This window comes from Homo sapiens, chromosome 18 (assembly GCF_000001405.40).
Source record: "Homo sapiens chromosome 18, GRCh38.p14 Primary Assembly".
Classification (NCBI taxonomy): Eukaryota; Metazoa; Chordata; class Mammalia; order Primates; family Hominidae; genus Homo; species Homo sapiens.
In genome coordinates, this window is record NC_000018.10 from 3419690 (window position 1) to 3445346 (window position 25657).

At 42.2% G+C, this 25657-nt stretch overlaps 1 protein-coding gene and 1 pseudogene across 2 annotated transcripts in view, besides 4 other annotated features; one reads left to right on the top strand and one right to left on the bottom strand.

Moving 5' to 3' along the window:
• TGIF1 (TGFB induced factor homeobox 1) overlaps positions 1-25657 on the top strand; it is a 47970-nt gene that overhangs the window by 7681 nt on the left and 14632 nt on the right. The gene's annotated exons all lie outside the window — the stretch shown is intronic.
• On the bottom strand, positions 4570-4660 carry LOC124904374 (uncharacterized; annotated as a pseudogene).
• Positions 6019-6519: an enhancer, noted in NCBI's record as "H3K27ac hESC enhancer chr18:3425706-3426206 (GRCh37/hg19 assembly coordinates)". NCBI's record gives its function as "activates a minimal SCP1, AML or CMV promoter by ChIP-STARR-seq in naive H9 embryonic stem cells {active_cell/tissue: H9 hESC(naive)}" and the evidence as "EXISTENCE:reporter gene assay evidence [ECO:0000049][PMID:30033119]".
• Positions 6520-7020: an enhancer, noted in NCBI's record as "H3K27ac hESC enhancer chr18:3426207-3426707 (GRCh37/hg19 assembly coordinates)". NCBI's record gives its function as "activates a minimal SCP1, AML or CMV promoter by ChIP-STARR-seq in naive H9 embryonic stem cells {active_cell/tissue: H9 hESC(naive)}" and the evidence as "EXISTENCE:reporter gene assay evidence [ECO:0000049][PMID:30033119]".
• Positions 14085-14585: an enhancer, noted in NCBI's record as "H3K4me1 hESC enhancer chr18:3433772-3434272 (GRCh37/hg19 assembly coordinates)". NCBI's record gives its function as "activates a minimal SCP1, AML or CMV promoter by ChIP-STARR-seq in naive H9 embryonic stem cells {active_cell/tissue: H9 hESC(naive)}" and the evidence as "EXISTENCE:reporter gene assay evidence [ECO:0000049][PMID:30033119]".
• Positions 15020-15230: a silencer, noted in NCBI's record as "fragment chr18:3434707-3434917 (GRCh37/hg19 assembly coordinates)". NCBI's record gives its function as "represses an EF-1alpha promoter that drives an FKBP-Casp9 reporter gene in an ReSE screen in K562 erythroleukemia cells {active_cell/tissue: K562}" and the evidence as "EXISTENCE:reporter gene assay evidence [ECO:0000049][PMID:32094911]".

The following is a 25657-nucleotide window of genomic DNA, read 5'->3' on the forward strand; positions in this document are numbered from 1 at the left end:
AAAAATTAGTCTCCAACTCAACAAGAAAAAAGCAGGCTGGGCACGGTGGCTCACGCCTGTAATCCCAGCACTGTGGGAGGCCAAGGCGAGTGGATCACCTGAGGTCAGGTGTTCAAGACCAGCCTGGCCAACATAGCAAAACCCCTCCTCTACTAAAAATACAAAAATTAGCTGGGCATGGTGGTGCCTGCCTGTAATCCCAGCTACTCAGGAGGCTGAGGCAGGAGAATCACTTGAACCCGGGAGGCAGAGGTTGCACTGAACTGAGATCGTGCCATTGCACTCCAACCTGGGTAACGGGGCAAGACTCCGTCTCAAAAAAAAAAAGGAAAAAGAAAAAAGGAAAATAACCTGATTTAAACACGGGTTTGTAATCATGTAAATGCTCAATTAAAATCAAACAAGTGGCCAGGCATGGTGGCTCAAGCCTATAATTAAAGCACTTTGGGAGGACAAGGTGGGTGGATCACTTGAGGTCAGGCAGAGTTTGAGACCATCCTGGCCAACATGATGAAACCCTATCTCTACTAAACATACAAAAATTAGTCATGCTTGATGGTGGGTGCCTGTCATCCCAGCTACTCAGAGGAGGCTGAGGCAGAAGAATCACTTGAATCCAGGAGGTGGAGTTTGCAGTGAGCCAAGATCGCGCCACTGCACTCCAGCCTGGGCAACAGAGTGAGACTCCCTCTCAAAAAAAAAATAATATTAATAAAACCAAACAAGAAAGAAAAAGAGTGGAAAACAAAAAGGAAACAAAGAATAAGAGCAATGAAATAAAATAAACTACAATTAAGGTACATGTTAATCCAACTATATCAATGATCACTTTAAATGTGAATGATCTAAATACATTAATTAAAAGACAGAGACTATCAGAGTGGATAAAATAACATCACCCAACTATACGTTGTTTACAAGAAACTCACTTTAAATATGCAGGCACAGGTGAAAAGTAAAAGGATGAATACAGAGATGCCACACTAACACTAATCAAAAGAAAGCTATGGTAGCTATGTTAATTTCAGACAAATTATCTCCTGCAATATCTTGGAAGACAGTTCACATGTCAGGCCCTTAGCCCTTAGTTCTAGGAGGGGTGTTTAAGAAATATCAATATTTATGTATTTTGACTGCTTTTTGCTGCTTTTAGCCAAGTTCTGTAAGACTGATGAACCAAAGCAAGAATTAGCCAGTTAGAAAGCAGACTAGAATGGAATACATTTCCTCACAGGAGGAGTTTGACAGTGTGACTTGGTTCTAATCAATGGGATGTGAGGAGAAATTATATACAGTCATGTACCTCATAACATTTTGGTCAAAGACAGACTACGTATATGATGGTGGTCCCATAAGATTATAAGGGAGCTGAAAAATTCCTGTTGCCTTGTGACGTCAAAGCTGTCCTAACTTTGTGGTGCAACACATTATTCACATGTTTGTGGTGATGCTGATGCTGGTGTAAACAAATCTACTGTATTTGATGGTACTAGCACTTGATAATAAATGACCAAGTTACCTGTTTATGAGTTTACTATACTATATATATACATTTATATATAGTATATAAAATATATATATATTTGAGATGGAGTTTGCGTCTTACTATACTATATATATACATTTATATATAGTATATAAAATATATATATATTTGAGATGGAGTTTGCGTCTTACTATACTATATATATACATTTATATATATATAGTATATAAAATATATATATACACACATATTTGAGATGGAGTTTGCATCTTGTTGCCCCAAGCTGGAGTGCAATGGCTTGATCTTGGCTCACCGCAACTTCCACCTCCCAGGTTCAGGTGATTCTCCTGCCTCAGCCTCCTGAGTAGCTGGGATTACAGGCATGCACCACCAAACCCAGCTAATTTTGTATTTTTAGTAGAGACAGGGTTTCTCCATACTGGCCAGGCTGATCTCGAACTCCCGACCTCAGGTGATCCACCCATCTCGGCCGCCTAAAGTGTTGGGATTACAGGCGTGAGCCACCGCGCCCATCTATACTATATTTTTAATTGTTATTTTAGAGTGTACTCTTTCTGTTTAATAAAAAAATTAACTGTAAAGCAACCTCAGGCAGGTCCTTCAGGAGGTATTGCAAAAGACGGCATTGTTACCATGGAAGCTGAACACTCCATAAGTGTTATTGCCCCAAAGACCTCTCAGTGGGAAAGATATACAGGTGAAAGACAGGGATATTGGCCGGGCACAGTGGCTCACGCCTGTAATCCCAGCACTTTGCGAGGCTGAGGTGAGCAGATCACTTGAGGTCAGGAGTTCGAGACTAGCCTGGCCAACATGGTGAAACCCCGTCTCTACTAAAAATACAAAAATTAATTGGGCGTGGAGGTGGTCACCTGTAATCCTAGCTACTCAGGAGGCTGAGGCAGGAGAATCGCTTGAACCTGGGAGGCGGAGATTGCAGTGAGCAGAGATGGCGCCACTGCACTCCAGCCTGGGCGACAGAGTGAGACACCGTAAAAAAAAAAAAAAAAAAGACAGTGATGTTGATGATCCTGACCCTGTGTAGGCCTAGGCTAATGTGTGTGTTTGTGTTTCAGTTTTTAACAAAAAGTTTAAAAAGTAAAAAAAAAAAAAAAAAAAAAAAAATTTGATAGAAAAAGCTTATAGAATATGGACATGAAGAACGAATACATTTTCATAGAGCTGTACAGTGTGCTTGTTTTTAGGCTTAGTGTTGTGACAAAGTCAAAAAGTTTTTAAAAATTTAAAACTTTATAAAATAAAAAAGTTATAGTAAGGTAAAGTTAATTTATTATTGAAGAAAGAAATTTTAAAAAATAAAATGTAGCCAAAGTGTATATCATTTATAAAGTCTACAATAGTGTACAGTAATATTTTGTAGGCCTTCCCATTCACTCACCACTCACTCACCGACTCACTGAAAGCAACATTCAGTCCTGCAGGCTCCATTAATGTTAAGTGCCCTATATAGGTGGCCTTTTTTTTTTTTTTTTTTTTTTTTTTTTTTTTTTTGAGACAGAGTCTGGCTCTGTCGCCCAGTCTGGAGTGCAGTGGCGTGATCTCCGCTCACTGCAAGCTCCACCTCCTGGGTTCACACCATTCTCCTGCCTCAGCCTCCTGAGTAGCTGGGACTACAGGCACCCGCCACCACGCCCAGCTAATTTTTTGTATTTTAGTAGAGACGGGGTTTCACCGTGTTATCCAGGATGGTCTCTATCTCCTGACCTCATGATCCACCTGCCTCGGCCTCCCAAAGCGCTGGGATTGTAGGCGTGAGCCACCGCGCCCAGGCTTTTTTTGTCTTTTATGCCATATTTTTACTATACATGTTCTAGGTTTAGATAGATCAATACTTACCATTGTGTTGCAATCACCTGCAGTACTCATATGGTTACATCACTCCTAGTAGCATAGAAGCAATAGGCCATACCATAAGCCTAATGCATGTAGTCGGCTCTAAGTTTGTCTGAGTACACGCCTAACACCTGAAGACACATTTCTCAGAATGTCTCCCCGTCGTTGATGCATGACAGTATATCACATATTGTACTATTGAAAAAATAGGCATGGCTGGGCGTGGTGGCTCAGGCCTCTAATCCCAACACTTTGGGAAGCTGTGGCAGGAGGGTCCCTTGAGCCCAGAGTTCTCAACCAGCCTGGGCAACATAGTGAGACCCCGTCTCTACAAAAAAAAGTTTTAAGGCTGAGCGCAGTGGCTCACGCTTGTAATCCCAGCACTTTGGGAGGCCAGGGCGGGCAGATCACGAGGTCAGGACATCGAGACCTTCCTGGCTAACACGGCGAAACCCCGTCTCTACTAAAAAAATACAAAAAATTAGCCGGGCTTGGTGTCGGGCGCCTGTGATCCCAGCTACTCAGGAGCTACTGAGGCAGGAGAATGTCGTGAACCCAGGAGGCGGAGCTTGCAGTGAGCAGAGATCGCGCCACTGCCCTCCAGCCTGCACAACAGAGCGAGACTCCCATCTCAAAAAAAAAAGAGTTTTAAAAATTAGCCGGGTGTGGTGGTGCACACTTGCAATCCCAGCTACTCGGGAGACTAAGGCAGGAGGATCACTGGAGCCCAGGAGGTCAAGGCTGCAGTGAGCTATGATCACACCACTGCACTCCAGCCTGGGTGACAGAGCAGTGCTCTGTCTCAAAAACAACAAAACAAAAAAAGGCACACCTGCCCTCGTTTCTTCCTCTCTTTCCAGTGGCCTAAATGTTGAGAGGTAGAGAGAATTAAAGCAGCTATCTTAAACTAAAGAGGGCAGCCACGATGGAGTGACAATACAGAAGGGGTCTGCGTCACCAACATTGTGGCGCTTCCGCAGCCCTGGAGTGCTTATGTTCACACTGTGACACAGAGACAAGTCAAATTCTTTCATGTTTATTTGGGTCTATGTGAGAGCAACTCAAGCTGCGACCTAATTAATGTAGGTTTATGATCAAGTACATATCTCATTGTATTGTAGCTATTTCTCTAATTATGATTATTTTATTATAAGTAATCATCAGTAATAATATCAGCAAAGTAAGTTTTTTTTGTTGTTTTTTTTTAATGTCAGATGGGTAATGTGCCAAGATTTGAGGGAGGCATATCTCACACGAGAGTGTGAAAACACAATCATCATGTTATTAACTACAAAGGATCACATGCAGTCAAGTTTTTACTGTAATCCATGGGTGGGAAGTTCAGCCACACCTTGCAGGATCTGAAACAGGAAATAGAGAAGCCATCAGTAACTGAGGTCATTCTCATATCAGCTTCTGCAAACCAGATTTCTCTCCTGTGATATTGTGAAATACTACTTGGTCTTCTACCCATTTCCTGGCAAGCAACTTCTAAAATCCTTGGAATCTCCTTGTGTGCTAATGAATTGACCTTTGGGTGGGTGGGTAGGGGCTACTGGATAGCCCCAGGATAGTGGTTGCCACTGGATTAGAGGGTAGGAACTTTCAGCCCCACCCCCAGCCTCGGGGAGGAGAGAGTAGCTGAAGTTTGAGTTATTCACCAATGGCCAATGATGTAATCAATCATGCCTACTTAATGACCCCTCCATAAAACCCCCAAAGGATAGAAGTTGGAGAGCTTCTGAGTTGCTTAACCCTTGGAGGTGCTGGGAGGGTGATATGCCTGGAGCGGGCACAGAAGCTCTGCACCCCTTCCCCATACCTTGCCCTATGCATCTCTTCCATCTGGCTGTTCATCTGTATCCTTTCTAATATCCTTTATAATAAACAGGTAAACATAAGTAAGTGTTTCCCAAAGGTCTGTGAGCTGCTCTAGCAAATTAATCAAACCTGTGGAAGGGCCATGGGAACCCTGATGTATAGCCAGTTGGTCAGAAGTATTGGTGACAACCTACTACTTATGATGTCTAAAGTGGGGCAGTCTTGTGGGACTGAACTCTCAACCCGTGAGGTTTGATGCTACCTTCAGGTAGATAGTGTCAGAATTGAACTGAATTCTAGAGGATGAAACTGCCTTTGCAAAATTATGACAGCAAGAGAAATGTGACATGGCTAACTCCATCTTGCTTCTATCCTCACAGACTGGCTGTCCTTGCTCATACCTGGGCATAGGCCAAGCTAACCACGGGAGAAATTTAGTTTATAGTTTACGTGATGATAGCCCTTTCCAAAAACTAAACTACCCTTGTAAAACTGATGAACATCATGAAGTTAGGAGGATGAGAGGGGCCTGAATTCTACTAAGATGTGGGTGTAGTTAAATAATTACCAGCCATTATTCCGAAAGTCATAAGATTTGCAACTTCCCCAATTAATCCTGTAAATAACATCACTATTGTAGAGTTTAAGATTGGCCTTTTGGGACGTCTTTTCAGGCTTTTGCATTTCTAAGTACTGGATGGCCCCACCCAGACCAGTGACTCCTCTGGTGGGCCCCACCCAGAAGCCAACTCAGCATACAAGGACTGTTTTCCACACCCCTATGATTGCATCCCCAGCCAATCCGCATGGCCCCGTCCCTAGCCTCCTGCCTACCAAACTATCCTTGAAAAACCCCTAACCTCCAGGCATGCTGGGATATTGATTTGGGTGATGACTGTCTCCTGCGTGGTGCCAGCATCGTGTCAACTGAACTCTTTCTTGACTGCAATGCCATGGGCTCAGTGGATTGGGCCTGTGCGGGAAGAACCCATCAGGCAGTTACGAGGACATCCAACTGGTGTGTGCTGGAGAATCTCTTGCGGAATTGATTGCTTGCTTGGTGTGTCAGGAAACCCGCACCATCCCCCTGCCCTGCCCTGCCCCCGCCCCATATTTGGTCACAGCAGCATCCTACGTTGTGAGAGTATAGTAGGAGAAAGTGTTTTTACATGTATCCTTTTATCTATTTTGTTTGGTATATGGCCATGTATAAGTGAGCAGTCCCCCAACTTCGAATTTCCTGAGACACACTAAGACTTTAGCCCTAATCTCAGGCCCAGTTCTGGCTAGGGTCCTTTTTTTTTTTTTTTTTTTTGAGACAGGGTCTTGCTCTGTTGCCCAGGCTGGAGTGCAGTGACACAATCTTGGCTCACTGCAACGTCCTCCTCCTGGGCTCAAGTGATTCTCACACCTCAGCCTCCCAAGTTGCTGGGACTACAGATGCACATCACCACACCTAGCTGATTTTTGTGTTTTGTATAGAGACAGGGTTTCACTGTGTTGTCTAGGCTGGTCTCAAACTCCTGACCTCCAGCGATCCGCCTGCCTCTGCCTCCCAAAGTGCTGGCATTACAGGCATGAGTCACTGCCCCTGGCCCAGCTAGGGTCCACTTATTCAGTCAACCCATAGACTGATAATGGAGAATGTTCTCAGAAAAGACTGGTGTTAGCTGTACAGATAACCTATGGGCCTAATATATGTCTGTCTTCCATATTTGTATTTTGTTTGCTAATACTGTGGAGAAAGAAGCAGGAATTCCCATTCATTGCTAGTGGAAATGCAAATTGGTACAACCCTTGTGAAGTAGAATTTGGCAATATCTAACAAAGCCACACGTTTATTTTTTGACATAAGAATCACACTTTTAGGAAGTTGTTCTGAGGATATAGCTTCAATAATATGAAAATACATGTGAACAAGATTGTTCTTTGCAGCACTATTTAGAATTGCAGTCCAAATGCCAAACATGAGAAAGTAATTAAACCATGGTACAGCCAAGCAGTGGGGTACTATGCAGCGGTAAAAAAGTAATAAGGATGATCTCTTTTTTTTTTTTTTTTTTTTTTTGGAGACGGAGTTTCACTCTTGTAGCCTAGGCTGGAGTGCAATGGCATGATCTCGGCTCACTGCAACCTCCGCCTCCCGGGTTCAACCTCCACCTCCCGGGTTCAAGCGATTCTCCTGCCTCAGCCTCCCAAATAGCTGGGATTACAGGCTTGCGCCACCATGCCCGGCTAATTTTTGTATTTTTAGTACAGACGGGGTTTCACCATGTTGGCCAGGCTAGCCTCGAACTCCTGACCTCAGGCAATCCACCCGCCTCGGCCTCTCAAAGTGCTGGGATTACAGGCGTGAGCCACCGCGCCCAGCCAATGATCTCTATAAACTGATACGGAGTGATTTCCAGAATACATTCTCCCTTTTTTTTTTTTTCTTTGAGATGAAGCCTCACTCTGTTGCCCAGGCTAGAGTGCAGAGGCACAATTTCGGGACACTGCAACCTCCACCCCACTAGGTTCAAGTGATTCTCTTCCTCAGCCTCCCGAGTAGCTGGGACTACAGGTGTGCGCCACCACACGTGGCTAATTTTTGTATTTTTAGTAGAGACGGGGTTTCCCAGGTTGGCTAGGCTGGTCTCCAACTCTTGATCTCAAGTGATCCGCCTGCCTCAGCCTCCCAGAGTGCTAGGATTACAGGCGTGAGCCACTGTGCCTGAGCCAGAATATATTCTTTTTTTTTTTTTTTGAGACGGGGTTTCCCTCTGTCACCCAGGCTGGAGTGCAGTGACGGGCTCTCAGTTTACTGCAACCTCCACCTCCCGGGTTCAAGCAATTCTCCTGCCTCAGCCACCCGAGTAACTGGGATTACAGGCAACTGCCACCACACCTGGCTAATTTTTATATTTTTAGTGGAGACAGGATTTCGACATGTTGGCCAGGATGGTCTCGAACTCTTGACTGCAGGTGATCCGCCTGCCTGGGCCTCCCAAAGGGATGGGATTATAGGCGTGAACCACCACACCCGGCCTCAGAATATATTCTTAACTGAATAAAGGAAAATGCCAAAAACAATCTATGGCTGCCGTTCTCAAAACGTGGTGGCCACACCCCTGGGGGTACCTGAGGCACTTTCAGGTGGCCCATGAGGTTAAAACTATTTTCCAAATAATGCATTGTTTGCCTTTTTCACTGTGCTGACATTTGCATTGTTGATGTGGAACGGATGCAGATAAAACTGCTAGCCCTTCACAAATCAAGGCCATGGCAAGCTCTCTCCACTGCCACACACTCTGGGGGCTGGGGGGAGGGAGAGACAGTTTTACTTAAGAATTTCCTTGATGAAGCAATAAAAATTGGTAATTTTGTCAGAACTTGACCCTGAGTTCACATCTTTTTACTATTCTGTGTGACCAAATGGGAGGTTCACAGGAGCACTTCCGACGTGCATGGCATATGATGGTGATCTTGTGCAACAGTGTTTCTGCAGTTGTTTGAGTTGCAAGATGAGGTAGCCATTTTTTCATGAACATCATTTTTAATTTTTTAATTAAAATTTTTTTTTTATTTTTAAAAATTATTTTGGCCGGGTATGGTGGCGGCTCATGCCTGTAATCCCAGCACTTTAGGAGGCTGAGGCGGGCAGATCATGAGGTCGGGAGATCGACACCATCCTGACCAACATAGCGAAACCCCATCTCCACTAAAATACAAAAAGATTATCCGGGCATGGTGGCACGCGCCTGTAGTCCCAGCTGTTTAGGAGGCTGAGGCGGGAGAATCACTTGAATTCAGGAGGTGGAGGTTGCAGTGAGCCAAAATCGCACCACTGCACTCCAGTTTGGGCGACAGAGCAAGACTTCATCTCAAAAAAAAAAATGTTATTTTATAGGTCAGGCGCAGTGGCTCACGCCTGAGATCCTAGCACTTTGGGAGGCCAAGGTGGGCAGATTGCCTGAGCTCAGGAGTTCGAGAACAGCCTGGGCAACACGGTGAAACCCTGTCTCTACTAAAATACAGAAATAAAAAATAAAATAAGCCGAGCATGGCGGCGTGCCCCTGTAGTCCCAGCTACTCAGGAGGCTGAAGCAGGAGAAGTGCTTGAACCCAGGAGGCGGAGGTTAGAGTGAGCCGAGATCGCGCCACTGCACTCCAGCCTGGGTGACAGAGCCAGACTCCGTCTCCAAAAAAAAAAAATTATTTTATAGAGACGGGCCTTGCTCTGTTGCCCAGTGTAGAGTGTAGTGGTAGGATTATAGCTCACTGCAGCCTCAAACTTCTGGGCTCAATCAATTCTTGTGCCTCAGCCTCCTGAGTATTTGAGACTACAGGCACGTGCCACCAGGCCCAGCTAATTTTGTAATTTTTTTTTTGTAGAGACTGGAGTCTCGCTTTGTTTGTCCAGGCTGGTCTTGAACTTCTTGCTCAAACAATCCTCCCAAAGCATTGGAATTACAGGCATGAGCCACCATGCTCAGCCTGTGGAACACCATTTCAAGGTGAAACCGGAAAGGCAAACTACTGCTAGTTGGACATGGGATTTCACAGTTATTTTCTCAACTATGAGTGAAGTAAGCCTAACATTCCAAGCAAAAAAAAAAATGGATAGTAAATGTTGCTAATGGAAAGATTCAAAATTTAAATTTAAATTTAATTTGGAAAATCTCTCATCCGCTACCATGGGCTTTACCGAATCGAGTCAGAGAAGATAGTAAATGAAGTAACTTCTTTTATGTACAATGAAATGTGTCAACATTTGGAAGATGTATATACTTCAGTGAACCATTATTTTCCAAGTGACCAAAGCATGATGTTACAAAATCACGCATGGTTAAAAAACACAATCAAAGTACAAGATAGGGCAATGCATTTTAATGTTAACACCACAAAAAAGTTTGTGAATGTGATTTCAGAATCCACATTGCAACTAACTTCTGAGAAACAATCACTATTGTGTTTTAGTGTTGTCAAAGAGGAACAAACACAATTACCTGAAAAGGCTGAGGCTGGGCACAGTGGCTTGTGCCTGTAATCCCAACACTTTGGGAGGCCAAGGTGGGTGGATCACCTGCGGTCAGGAGTTGGAGACCAGCCTAGCCAACATGGCAAAACCCCTTCTCTACTAAAAATACAAAAAATTAGCCAGGCGTGGTGGTGGGCACCTGTAATCCCAGATACTCGGGAGGCTGAGGCAGGAGAATTGCTTGAAATTGGGAGGCAGGGGTTGCAGTGAGCTGAGATCGCAACATTGCACTCCAGCTGGGTGACAGAGTAAGACTGTCTCAACAAAAGAGAAAAGACTGTGAAAATACTCATCCTTTTTCCAACTACATATCTGTTTGATGCCAAGTTTTCTTTAGATGCTTTTACCAAAACAATGTATTTCAAGAGATTACTAGAGGAATCAGATATGAGAATCCAACTGTCTTCTATTAAACCAGGCATTAAAGAGATTTGCAGAAATATAAAACAATGCTATCCTTCTTTCTATATTTTTATTTGATAAAATGGAGTTTTTATTAATAAAAATGTGAAATGTTACTTATATTAACGTGTCATGAATTTATATTATTATTTTACATGTATTTAATAAATGCGTATTTTTACAATTTCTCAGTTTTGGTTTAGTTTTGTTTTGTTTTTTCTTTTTTTGAGACGAAGTCTTGCTCTGTCACCCAGGCTGGGGTGCAGTGGTGTGATATTAGTTCACTGCAGCCTCCACCTGACACAGGCTCAAGCAATCCTCCCACCTCAGCCTCCTGAGTAGCTGGGACTACAGGCCCATGCCACCACACCCGGCTAATTTTTTTTTTTTTTTTTTTTGGTAGAGATAGGGTCTTGCCATGTTGCCCAGGCTGTTATCAAACTTCTGAGCTCAGCTTATCCTCCTGCCTCAGCCTCCCAAAATGCTGGGATTATAGGCACAAGCCACTGCACCCGGCTAGTTTTAGTGTCTAATGCAGTAAATATAATAGATATAGTCCACATAAACAAAAGCTTTTTGGCTCTTCAGTAGCTTTTAATAGGGTGAAGAAGTCCTGAGCCTAAAACAATCTGAGACTTACTACTTATTGTATAATAACAAATATACACATGTCTGTATGATCTGAAATGACCGATTCCAGGGCTGGGGCAGGGAGAATACGATATGAACCTGGAACATTTTGTTATGCCAGAAAATAAAAAAACCCTGAAGGAGTGATGGAGGTAAGTCGAAAGGATAAGGCACCCAATTTGAGGAGCTCCCACTGGCCAAATCCAAGATAATCTGAGCACAGAAATAAATAATAATAGCAGGTCTGGCGTGGTGGCTCGCACCTTTAATCCCAGCACTTCGGGAGGCCGAGGCAGGCGGATAACCTGAGGTCAGGAGTTCAAGACCAGCCTGACCAACATAGTGAAACTCCGTCTCTAGTAAAAATATAAGAATTAGTCGGGTGTAGTGGTGGGTGCCGGTGATCCCAACTGTTCATGAGGCTAAGGCTTGAACCCGGGAGGTGGAGGTCGTAGTGAGCAGAGATTGTGCCATTGCACTCCAGTCTGGGCGACAGGAGCGAGACTGTGTCTCAAAAAAAATAAAAACTAAAACTAAAATAAAATAATTAAATCATAAATAAATAAATAAATAATAGTAATGGATTTTTAACCTAGTGAATAAAGTAGGGCTCCACAAATCCATACTGATACAAATAAGCAAACAAACAAATGGAGAAGGAAAAGCTTTTCCACAGAGTAGAAAACCAACAAATAAATGTAGAAGAAACGATGGATGATAAAACTAAAGGGTAAAAGTTTGAGGAATAGGACATCTATCTTGTTTCAAAATAGGGAGAAATATTAACTTTATTATTATTTCAGATGGAGAGGCCTGGCTGACACCACCTTAACCAAGTCATCAAAGTTAATCATCAAAGTTAACATTACCAGTAAGGGGACAAGCCCACATTAAAATCACGTGCCACCTAATAAAATGTACTAAGGGCCGGGTGCTGTGGCTCACGCCTGTAATCCCAGCTCTTTGGGAGGCTGAGGCAGGCAGATGATGAGGTCAAGAGATCGAGACTATCCTGGCCAACCTGGTGAAACCCCATCTCTACTAAAATACAAAAATTAGCTGGGCATGGTGGTACACACCTGTAGTCCCAGCTACTTGGGAGGCTGAGGCAGGAGAATGGCTTGAACCCAGGAGGCGGAGATTACAGTGAGCCGAGATTGTGCCATTGCACTCCAACCTGGGCAACAGAACAAAACTGTCAAAAAAAAAAAAAAAAAAAAACACTAAGAAAGCTAAGGAAGGCGAAATATCAATTTTGTGATATATCTGTCCAAAATGCACAGCCTCAATCTAATCATGAGGAAACATGGGACTGCCAAAGTGAGGGATGTGCTATAAACTAACAGGACTTTACTTTCAAAAATGCCAAGGTCCTGAACGACAAATACAGACCATTCTACATTAAAGGAGACTAAAGAGATATGCTTACTCAATACAGTGCGTGATCCTACATCGGATCTTAGTCTGAAAATTTTTGCTTTCTTATAAAGGACATTATTTGACAACAAAAAATATGAGTATGGTCAGTATACTAGGTAATAGCATTATATCAATGTTAATTTCCTAATTTTGATAATTGTAATACATTCTCTGGTGTATAAGAGAATGTCCTTGTTCTCAGGAAGTACACACTGAAGTATTTAGGGCACAAAGGGCAACATATCTGCAGTTTACTCTCAAATGATTCAGGAATAAAAGACATATATGGGAAACGATTATATGTAGTGTGTGCGCCTGTGTTTGTCTATATGGAAAATAATGGATCAAATCTGGGGAATCTGGATGGTGAAGAGTATATGAGATTTCTTTATACCATTCTTCAGACTTTTCTTTTTTTGTTTGTTTTTTTTTTTGAGATGGAGTTTCACACTTGTTTCCCAGGCTGGAGTGCAGTGGTGTGATCTCGGCTCACCACAACCTCCGCCGCCTGGGTTCAAGCAATTCTCCTGCCTCAGCCTCCCGAGTAGCTGGGATTACAGGCATGCGCCACCAAGCCCGGCTAATTTTGTATTTTTAGTAGAGACGGGGTTTCTCCACGTTGGTCAGGCTGGTCTCGAACTCCCGACCTCAGGTCATCCGCCCGGCTTGGCCTCCCAAAGAGCTGGGATTACTGGCGTGAGCCACTGCGCCTGGCCTTCTTCTTCTTCTTCTTTTTTTTTTTTGAGACTGATTCTGATTCTCACTCTGTCACCCAGGTTTGAGTGCAGTGGAGCAATCTCAGCTCACTGCAGCCTCCACCTTCTGGGCTCAAGCACTCCTTTTGCTTCAGCCTCCCAAGTAGCTAGGATTACAGGCACATGCCACCACGCTGGGCTGATTTTTGTATTTTTGGTAGAGACGGGATTTCCCCATGTTGGCCAGGCTGGTCTCCAACTCCTGGCCTCACGTGATCCGCCCGCCTCAGCCTCCCAAAGTGCTAGGATTACAGGCGTCAGCCACCACGCCTGGCCCTTATGAATTTTCTATAAGGCTAAAATCACTTTAAGATTAAAAATTACAAGACGAAAGTAATACAATTCTGATATATTCTATAACATGGCCGAAGGTTGAAGACACTATGCTAAGTGAAATAAGCCAGACACAGAAGGACAAATATTGTGATTCTACTTTTATGAAAAACCTAGAATAGTCAAATTCATGGAGGTTAAGACGGAAAGCCTCCATGTTAGAATGAACTAGAATACAGAAGAGAAGTTACTAGGGACTGTGGGGAGGAGAGAACGATGACTTAGTGTTTAATGGGTAAAGAGGTTATTTTTTATTTTAGAGACAGGGTCTTGCTCCATCACCCAGTCTGGAGTGCTCTGGTTTAATAATAGCTCAATGTAACCTTGAAGAATTTAAGTTTTGCCAGATGAAAAGAGTTCTGAAAATGGATAGTCATGATGGTTGCACAGCCAAGTGAATATACTTAATGCCACTGAACTGTATATTTAAAATTGGTCAAAATGGTATATTTTACGTTGTGTAGTATATTGTACCACATATACAAAAAAAGTAAATGAGGGTTCACAGTCCCAGGTTTATACTTTAACTACAATATCAGCATGTCTTCCCCAGAACTGATTACAAAATGCAGTTTCATTCTATAAAAACATTTAAGGAACAGCCTCCTTCCCTACCAGAGATCTTGTACCATCTTGCCAGTCGAAGTGAGAAACAGCCCATTTAAATAATAGCTATGGGCCAGGTGCGCTGGCTCATGCCTATAATCTCAGCACTTTGGGAGGCTGAGGCAGGTGGAGCACTTGAAGTCAGAAGTTTGAGACCACCCTGGCCAACATGGTGAAACCACATCTCTACTAAAAATACAAAAATTAGCTGGGCCTTGGGCCGGGTGCGGTGGCTTATGCCTGTAATCTCAGCACACTGGGAGGCTGAGATGGGTGGATCACCTGAGGTCAGGAGTTCGAGACCAGCCTGACCAACACGTAGAAACCCCGTCTCTACTAAAAATACAAAATTACCCGGGCGTGGTGGTGCATGCCTGTAATCCCAGCTACTTGGGAGGCTGAGGCAGGAGAATCGCTTAAACCCAGGAGACAGAGGTTGCGGTGAGGCAAGATCATGCCATTGCACTCCAGCCTGGGCAACAAGAGCTAAACTGCATCTCAAAAAATAAAAATAAAAAAATAAAAAAAATTAGCCAGGCGTGGTGGCATGCGCCTGTAATCCCAGCTACTCGGGAGGCTGAGGCAGGAGAATCGCTTGAACCCAAGAAGCGCAGGCTGCAGTGAGCTGAGATTGCACCACTGCACTCCAGTCTGGGCGACAGAGTGAGACTGTCTCAGAAAACGAAAATAAATAAGTAAATATAGTTATGAGCAGGCTCAGGAGGTAAACACTACAGTAATTAGACAACATCGAAGACTTCATGATAACACTTCCCAAGCATGTTTGGTGACCCGTGACCCTCAGGAACCAAGCATTTTGCAAGTTCTTCCCTTTCACACCCTTTGACCTCTGCAATGTGAACAGGAAAAATAAAGCCAAGTAAAATAGCTGACTTATACAGTCTTCATTCTGGCATGGACCTGGCCTGAAGTGGGTTCACTTCTCATTAAGGTTACTCATTGCTTTTTTACAGTATAAGCAATGGTAAAGTGTCTTTCATGCTTTAAGTGTCTGTAGTAATTTGTATGTAAGTGTCAAATACCAAGGCACAGTCAATCTTGTCTTATTTTTAAAAACTTAAAGTACCAAGTGAAAAACTCATTTCCATTTTCAAAGGCACAATTAAATTTCAGGCTTTTAATCTTTTAAAACCCTATATATATTTTTTTTTTTGAGATGGAGTCTTGCTCTCTTGCCCAGGCTGGAGTGCAGTGGTGTGATCTCGGCTCACTGCAACCTCCGCCTCCCAGGTTCAAGCGATTCTCCTTCCTGCCTCAGCCTCCCAAGTAGCTGGGACTGCAGGCGCATGCTGCCACGTCCGGCTAATTTTTTGTATTTTAGTAGAGATGGGGTTTCACCGGTGTTGCCCAGGCTGGTCTCGAACTCCTGAGCTCAGGCAATCCGCCTGCCTCGGCCTCCCAAAGTGCTAGGATTACAGGTGTGAGCCACCGCTCCCGGCCTTAAAACCCTATTAACCAGACTCTGTCTCTAATTGATTCTGGAGAAAATTGCAAACTTCATCTTCCTCAACTGTTGCCACATAGTCATCATTTCTTATAGAATAAGGCACTGATCCCATCTCAATCTAGTAACTTGACCTCAGTGTATCTTTTGAGGTTTCCCTTTTGCTATTCCTTCTGTAGCTGTCAAGTTAGACTCCCAAACTTTAGAATAAATCCCCAATAATTGCTCGGCCACAGAATGTACGCATTTTCAAAACTTTGCATATGCATTGATGAGTTGCTCTCTCACTAGCTGTGAACAAAAGGTCTCCTTTTCCCCAAACTAGTTGGTAAGGGTTTGTGATAAAGGAGGACTAAATATATATGTATATATATTTAGGGACAAGGTCTCACTCTGTCACCCAGGCTGGAGTGCAGTGGCATGATCATAGTTCATAACAGTCTCGAACTCCTGGGCTCAAACGATCTTCCTGTCTCTCTGCCACCTGAGTTTCTGGGATTACAGGCGTGAGCCAGTGCACCTGGCCTTCCTTCGATTTTTGAAATTCCCAAGCTACTCATTTTTTCTCTTCCTCTGAACGCCTGAGCACGTTCCTCTTTTATTCTTTGTTTACTTATTTTCACACCAGCAAGGTTAATACTTCACACATAGTGAGCCCTCAGGAATATTTGTCAATATTTGTCAAGTGAGAATATCACTATTTCAGCAACTTTTTTTATTAACTTAAAAAATAATGCCTATTGCTTTTTATGATGATAAAAGTAAGACAGTACCAGCTAATTGCAGAAAACTTGCAAAAGGCTAAAAACAGTGAAGAGCCATAATCCCACAACTTGGGCATAAGCATTATTTACATTTTGGCTGACAAATAGTCAAACTTTATCCAGCAGATGAAGCTGAATCCCAGAAGAGAGGCACAAAATTTTAATTTGTGTTTTGCTTTGTTTCTGTGAACATTCAAATAATGTCTGGAGTGGATGTAGGTTAGAATGTAAATCTATAGGCCCCAGATTAAATAAAAGAAGCCCTGAATGTAGCCGGGCATGGTGGCTCATGCCTGTAATTCCAGCACTTTGGGAGGCTGAGGCAGGTGGATCACCTGAGGTCAGGAGTTCGAGACCAGCCTGGCCAACGTGGTGAAAGCCCGTCTCTACTAAAAATACAAAAATTAGCCGGTTGTGGTGTCGCACTCCTGTAGTCCCAGCTACCCAGGAGGCTGAGGCAGGAGAATCTCTTGAACCCGGGAAGTGGAGGTTCCAGTGAGCCAAGATGGTGCCACTGCACTCCAGCCTGGGAGATAGAGGGAGACTCAAAAAAAGAGGGCTGGGTTTGGTGGCTCACACCTGTAATTCCAGCACTCTGGGAGGCCGAGGTGGGTGGATCATTCCAGGTCAGGAGTTCAAGACCAGCCTGGCCAACATGGTGAAACTCCATCTCTACTAAAAATACAAAAATTAGCCAGGCCTGGTGGCTCATGCCTGTAATCCCAGCTACTCGGGAGGCTGAGGCACGAGAATGGCCTGACCCCAGGAGGCAGAAGTTGCAGTGAGCCGAGATTGCGCCACTGCACTCCAACCTGGGTGACAGCGCAGGACTCCATCTCAAAAATAATAATAATAATAAAATAAAATAAACCCTCAATTTTATTTACCCAGAAAAAAGAGTGCCAACTCTTTTTGCACATCCTCCAAACCTTCTCAACTGTATTTTTCAAGAACAATCGATAGTTGACATGACTTCTCTGTGTGTGGAGGTGTGCGAGCATGGGGGATCTGCATTCTTATCCTGCAGATAATCAATGAGGAATGAGTGTAAACGTTCCATTCCTGTATACGTTTTCTTGTTTCTAGCTTAGGCCACCTGTTACCAGATAAGGATTTCCTAGCAGTAAATTAATTAAACCTTTACCTATCTTGAAGTCCAACAATACATAATTTATATTATTTTTCTCCTGGACTAAAATTTATTTTGCATTTTTAATGATTACCATTTGCAAAATAATAAGTGATGTATTTTGGGAGTGGGTGAGGGAGAAATGGGAACAGAAAGTGTATATTGAAGTTATATTAGAGAGAAAGCTTTTTTCTAAACAGCAATTTTCGTATGAAAAACAGAGGTTATTTGTTAATTGTATTTCAAAGCTACACGGAAGGGCTTGTATTTCTGGCTGGGGGTGGTGGTTCAAAGAGATGCTTCTTGGAAACTCAGCAAAATGATGACAGAAGTCAAAGCACATATGGTTATAGAATCACTAATCCCCTTGGAAAATGCATTTTGTGATCAGACAAGAAGTGACAAGTGGCCGGGCACGGTGGCTCATGCCTGTAATCCCAGCACTTTGGGAGGCCAAGGCAGGCGGATCACCTGAGGTCGGGAGTTCGAGACCAGCCTGGCCAACATGGTGAAACCCCATCTCTACTAAAAATACAAAAATTAGCCAGGTGTGGTGGTGCACGCTTGTAATCCCAGCCACTTGGGAGACTGAGGCAGGAGAATCGCTTGAACCCGGGAGGCAGAGGTTGCAGTGAGCCGAGATCACGCCATTGAACTCCAACCTGGGTGACAAGAGCGAAAGTCCGTCTCAAAAAAAAAAAGTGACAAGTGACTAATTAAATAGAAGTTAGTGTAGGTTGTTGTTGTATTTTTTTTCCATAAAGAAGCTGATAGAATCAATATATCATTTTATTAGTTGAAAGCGCAGTGAACCTAAGTCAAGCAATCTAGACCCTGCTTTTGAAAAAGTTGGTTTAGTTTTTAAAACCAAATGGGATTCTCGTGAAGCAAAAAATATTTAGTCACAAATTACAGATGTGTGACTTGCAGTGAAGGGTCATGTGTGCAAGAGTTATGAGAGATGGGAGAAGAGAGAGAAGGTGAGGGAGGGAGGACAAGCATGCAGATAAGTTACCTGAAATTCTCCTACTTTTTTCAAACCTAAAGGTCAGAATGTTATGTTTTAAAACTTTGTAATATGGCTGTTTGTGTTTCTATGTCACCATCTGGCTGTGCTGGCTAAAAACAGCTCCATGTTGGATGTATCAAGTCCTTCTAGACTTCACCCCCCATCTTCCATTCCCATCATTTCATACACACAAACACACACACACACACACACACACACACACACGAGAAGGAAATCATTAGCCATTACTTTTTCTAAAAGTTAATTTTGTCTAGTCAATAAAGTAAAACAATGTTCCTGGAGATCTCAAAGTGAGATACTGATTTGGTGAACATGTTTCCTGAACCAAAAAAAATCAAGGCGCGTAGTCTGACCGGTGCAAACAGAAGTGGAAATAAATATTTGAGAGTAGGACTATCCAGAAGAGAAGTTTTCCTTCTGTGATTGGTCTAAAATAAGCTAGTAGAACTAAAAGCATTAAAGTTCCATCTAAAAATAAAATGGAATTGTTCTCTCTGACAAGAAGAAATTGTATAAACATAGGAATATAAATAGCTAGAAAGAAAAAGACAATAGAGCATAATTCTGGGACTACTTGGCCCCATTAGTAAACAAATCATTTAGACCGAGGAATAAGGAGTTACTGATCAGGCAAGCAGGATCATTCACTATGAGAGCTTATCCAGAAGACATATGATGTCTGGAATTTGCTTTAAAGTAATATAGGTGAAGACGAAGTGTGTAAGGGAGAAGGTGACACTAGATGGGTCATGAATTGATCATTGTTGAAGCTGGGTGATGGTTCTTTGGGGATTTATTACACTAGGATCTCCTCACTATTGGATATATTTAAAATTTTCCATAATCAAAAGTAAAAAAAGCAAAACAAACAAAAACACTCTGGACACAACAGAGTCCTTGTTTCTGAAGTCACCTCACTATTTTAATTTTTTTTTTTTTTTGAGACGGAGTCTTGCTCTATTGCCCAGGTTGGAGTACAGTGGCAGATCTCGGCTCACCGCAACCTCCTCCCAGGTTCAAGCGATTCTCCTGCCTCAGCCACCCGATTAGCTGGGATTACTGGCATGCTCCACCATGCTTGGCTAATTTTGTATTTTTAGTAGAGATGGGATTTCTCCATTTTGGTCAGGCTGGCCTTGAACTCCCAACCTCAGGTGATTCGCCCGCCTCAGCCTCCCAAAGTGCTGGGATTACAGGCATGAGCCATCGTGCCCAGCTCTAAAGATTTTTTTAAAATAAAATTTATTCAGGACTAGTAGACGTGTGTGAATTGTTGCCTGTCTCAGGGAAAGGAGAAAAGAAAAATAGGAATGGGGCCAGGCGTGGCACCTCATGCCTGTAATCCCAGCACTTGGGGAAGCCAAGGTGGGCGGATAGATTGAGCCCAGGAGTTCAAGACCAGACTGGGCAACGTAGTGAAACCCGGTCTCTAAAAAAAATACAAAAATCAGCCAGGCGTTGTCGTGGGCGCCTTTGGTCCCAGCTATTAGGGAGGCTGAGGTGAGAGAATCACCTGAGCCCAGGAGGTGGAGGTTGCAGTGAGCCAAGATCGAACCACTGCACTCCAGCTTGGGCAACAGAGGAAGACCCTGTCTCAAAGAAAAAAAAAAAAAAGTACTGATTTAGACATTTATTTCACCCTTGAAAAGGAGCTCTACTAGTCTACTCTGTAACCCCGCACTTTGGGAGGCTGAGGAGAGCAGATCCCTTGAGGTCAGAAGTTTGAGACCAGGCTGGCCAACATGGCAAAACCCGGTCTCTACTAAAAATACAAAAATTAGCCAAACATGGTGGTTCATGCCTGTATTCCTCATTACTTGGGAGGCTGAGGCAGGAGAATCGCTTGAACCTGGGAGGCAGAGGTTGCAAGTGAGCCGATATCGTGCCACTGCACTCCAACCTGGGTGACAGAGCAAGACTCTTTCTCCAAAAAAAAAAAAAAAATTACCTGCATTAGGATTAACATTTCCAGTTTTGCAGATTTGGTCATCCAAATCCAAAGCCATTTGGGTTGGTAAATGGTTTGACAGTATTTGTTCTTATTTCTTGTAAAAGGCAATGAATAGTTGGCTCCCAGAGTGTCATTAGGGGTTATTCACATTTGCTGATGATTAACCACTAATGGCTCTTGGACTCCAGACACTGACTTCAACTTACCACTTTCCGCCCCGATTAGAAAGGCCTTCCCCAGTCTAAACACAACTGTGTCCCATTTCAGATGCCTGCTCAGGTTTTTATACAAGATTTGTGAAAAATCTCCTTTAACACAAATGAGAACGAAACGTAAATGTCCGATAATTGGGCATTGGTACATAAATTATATCCATAGTTACAATGGACTATTATTTAGTTGTTAAAAACGGATGTAGGCTCCCTGAGTCAGTCTAAGATTGGGCTGGTGTCTTCCTCTCCACACTTACATCACTCCAAAGGTAGTAACTGTTAATCTTTCTACACTTATCCTTCCAGAAAAATACAGGCATACAAAAATTTTATGCAAAAGGGATAATATTGTAGAGTTCTATACCTGGCTTTTAAATAAAACAACTTAACATCTATTAATAATCTTTCCATGTCAGTTCAGTCTGATTTACTTTATTGTTGTAATGACAGAAAAACAAAGTTTTCATGTCCCCCCCTCCATGTTTTTTGGTTATCTGGATTCCTTTTTAGGTAAAATACAAATCTACAGGCTGTCCAACTTTTTAAACACAGAGTTTTTCTTTTCTACGGTTTGTATAAGCCCTTCATGAATTAAGTCAATTGGGCTTATGCCTGAATGTGCTACAACTATTTTTCCAAGTTTCTTAGCTTTTGAAAATTTTATACAATTTTTCCTTAAACATAAATTCTTTCTAAGAAACAAAGTACTTATAAACATTTATATCTCATCATTTCTTGATTTTGTGCTCTGGTTAGAAAGGCCTTCCCCACTCCAAGATCATACATTTACTCATGCTTTCTTCTAGAAGTGTGTGTTTCACCCTTGGCACTACTGACATTTTGAACAGGAGAATTCTTGGTGTGGGGGCTGTGGTGTGCGTGGTAGAATGTTGGGCAGCATCCCTGGTCTCTATCCACTAGATGCCAGTAGCAACACCTCCTCTCCAGCTGCAGTCACCAAACATGTCTCCCGACATTGTCAAATGTTCCCTGGAAGGAAAAATTGCCACATACACACCCTGCTTTGAGAACCACTATTCTAGAATATACATAGGTGCATTTTAAATTACTTTTACATTTCATTCAGATGAATTGTACTTATGTTAAGGGAGTGAAATGGAGATTTAGCTTTATTTTTTTAACCGAAGGTAGTCAATTATCCCAATTCAATTTATCTCTGATATGAAAAGCCACCTTTGCCAAAATCTAAATCCCCATTATATTCTAATCTGCCTCCTTATTGTTTCTTCTTTATTATTTCTCCAGCATAAAACTTTTACATTTAAATTATAGACTTCAAAATATGCTTTAATATTTGGAAGGCTTCCCCAGTGTTCCCCTATACCAGCTCTTCTCTTTCAGAATTTCCCCAGCTGCTGTGAGGTTTTAATTTCAATGAACTGTGGCATTGTTTCATCAATTAAAAAGAAAAAGAAAGCCCTGTTGGTATTTTAATGAAAATCACTTTGAATTTAAAGACTGATTTGGGGAGAATAAACATCTTTATATAACTTTCACTATTGGATCTTGCTAGAAAGAATAAGTTGTCTTTTATTTTACTTGTCTTCCTTTATGTCTCTCAGTAGGGTTTTAAAGTTTTCTTTATAAAACTTGCAGAAATTTCTGTCAATTTTATTCCTAGATATTTCATCATTTTATTGCTATTATAAATGGCTACTCTAGAGCTTTGGGAAGAAGTAACTGTGATAAATGGAAATGTGGATGAATTAGCCCTTTAATGGAAAGAAAAGGAATAAGTTAAAAACTGGTACAGTATTCTGAAGGTCTTTTATAATATAAATATAGTACTTAGTCCAATGATTTTTTTTTAAACAAATGGGGACACATTGCCTTCTTGCATTTATAATATTAGTTCACTGCTTTTTGCTCTTTGTCAGATGAGCTTTTAAGCTAATACAAAAATAGGCTGTCCCTTACTTATCATTTTAAAAAGAAAAGAAAAAAGAATATACAAAAAAAATCAATACAATAGAAAAGTTGGCAAAAGTTATGAACAGGATTGTGCAGTAGCTCAACTTGTAATCCAAGCACTTTGGGAGACTGAGATGGGAGGATCCCTTGAAACCAAGGAGTTCAAGACCAGCCTGGGCAACATAGTGAGACCGCATCTCTACTTTTATTAAATAAATAAAAAATCTTTAAAAAATAATGTTATGAATAAGCAAGAAGAAGAAATAAAAATGACTAATACATACACAAAAATGGGCTCACCCTCTCAAAGAAATGTGAACAATAAAAACATTTGGTTCCATTTACTTACCTGGGAGATAGACAAATAGGAAATTGATTGATAATATTCAGCGTTAGTGAGGGCACAAAGAAAGAGATCTCACATAACTTTGGTGAGATTTTAAATAGGTAAGATCATTTGGAGGCAATTTGGCAATATCTATCAAAATTCTGAATGAAACACGTTTTGATGCAGCTATTCCACCTCCCAGAAACTCCTACAGATATGCTCACAGAAGCCCCAAAAGATCTGCATACAAACTAACATTCTGTTGGGCCCAGCCGGTTCATTATCAGTATGCCCCAGTACACAATCAGAAGGGGCTCTTCTAATTGGCTGATGCGCGTATTCTATCAGTTGTTAAATATTTCAAATGTAATTGCACTATCTTTTTGTGCTGAGTTACACATTGGAAACAATTAAATGCTCATTACTAAGAAAATAAATGAAAAAGCAAATTGCAGAATATTAGTATTGTTTAGATTATTGGCTCATGGGTTATACTGGCAGGATAAATTAATTAACTCCCACAGACTACAACTTCTTCATCTGTAAGGTGGGGATAATAATACTTTTTTTTTTTTTCCAGATAGGGTTTCGCTCTTGTCTCCCAGACTGGACAACAGTGGTGCAATATAGCTCACTGCAGCCTTGAACTTCCAGGCTCTGCAGGCTCTAACTCTGTGCACTACAGGTGTATACCACGAAGCCCAGCCAATATAATATGAAAATAATAATAATGAGAACTTTTTTTTTGAGATGTAATTTCGTTCTGTTACCCAGGCTGGAGTGCAATGGCGCAATCTCGGCTCACTCCACCTCCCAGGTTCAAGTGAATTCTCGTGCCTCACGAATTCACTTGAAATTCACTTGAATTCACCATGGGGTTTCACCATGTTGGCCAGGCTGGTCTCGAACTCCTGACCTCAGATGATCTGCCCGCCTTGGCCTCCCAAAGTGCTGGGATTACAGACATGAGCCACTGTACCTGGCCATGAGTACTTCTTAGGGTTGTTTTAAGTAGTAAATAAAATAAAAGAAGGAAAGTATTTGCATACTGCCTGGCATGCTGTATACAATAAATGATTGTATTCTTTCTTTTTTTTTTTTTTTTGAGACGGAGTCTAGCTCTTTCACCCAGGCTGGACTGCAGTGGCACGATCTCGGCTCACTGCAACCTCCACCTCCCGGGTTCAAACGATTCTCCTGCCTCAGCCTACCGAGCAGCTGGGACTACAGGCGCGTGCCACCACTGTGCCACCATGCCCAGCTAATTTTTGTATTTTTAGTACAGACGGGTTTCACCATATGGGCCAGGCTGGTCTCGAGGTCCTGACCTCATGATCCACCTGCCTCAGCCTCCCAAAATGCTGGGATTACAGGCATGAACCATTGCACCCGGCCTGTATTCTTATTTTAAATTATTCTTATAGTCTCACTTTCTTTTCTTTTTTTTTTTTTTTGTCTTTTTAAAATTTTTTAACTTTAATTTACATTTGGTGGTACATGTGAAGGTTTCTTAAATAAGAAAACATGTCACAGGGTTTGTTGTACATATTATTTCATCATCCAGATAAGCCCAGTACCCAAAATTTCTGCTCCTCTCCCTCCTCCCACCCTCCTCACTCAAGTAAACCCCAGTGTCTGATGTTTCCTTCTTTGTGTTCGTAAGTTCTTATCATTTAGCTCCCATATAGTCTCACTTTCATGCATTATTCATTTGATAAATATTGGGTACCTATGATGTGTTAGGCACTGTATTAAGTACATAAAGGTTTTGTTTGTTTTTGTTTTTTGTTGTTGTTGTTTTTGAGACGGAGTCTCACTCTGTCACCCAGGCTTGAGTACAGTGGTGCGATCTCGGTTCACTTAAGTGCATAAATATTTAATAATGAAAATTTTTTAAAAATAAAAAAACAAAACAAATTTAAAAAAAGATTTAATAATGAACATACATTTGAGTGGGAGGTCAGAGGGAAAAAACCAAGCCAACAGTCAAGTAAGCAAAATAATTGAAAACTGTGATGTTATGGAAGAAATAAAGGATTGAGCTAGATTTGTGGTTCTGAACCAGGGGTGATCCTCCTCCCCATGGGGATTTCTATCCCCATGGAACATCTGCCAACATATGGAGACATCTGTGTTTGTCACAGCTTGGGGGAAGGATGCCACTGGCACACACTGGTTAGTGTCCAGGGATGTCACTAAATATCCTACAATGCACAGGACAGCCCCACAAGAAAGAATGATCCAGCCCCAAACGTCAATAGGGCTGTGGTTGAGAACTCCTGAGCCACACGATGGCAGCGGGGCTACCTAATTTAGGTCAGGTGATCAGCGAAGACTCCTCTAAGAAGTAACATTTAGGCCTAGCCTTGACTGGTGAGAAACTGCCAGAGGATCAACAAGTGGTGAAGGAACATCCCGGGCAGAGGGGACTTGGGAACAAGTAACAATGGAAAACCCATTGCCTTTGTGCATAATATACAAATGCCTAAATGAAGAATG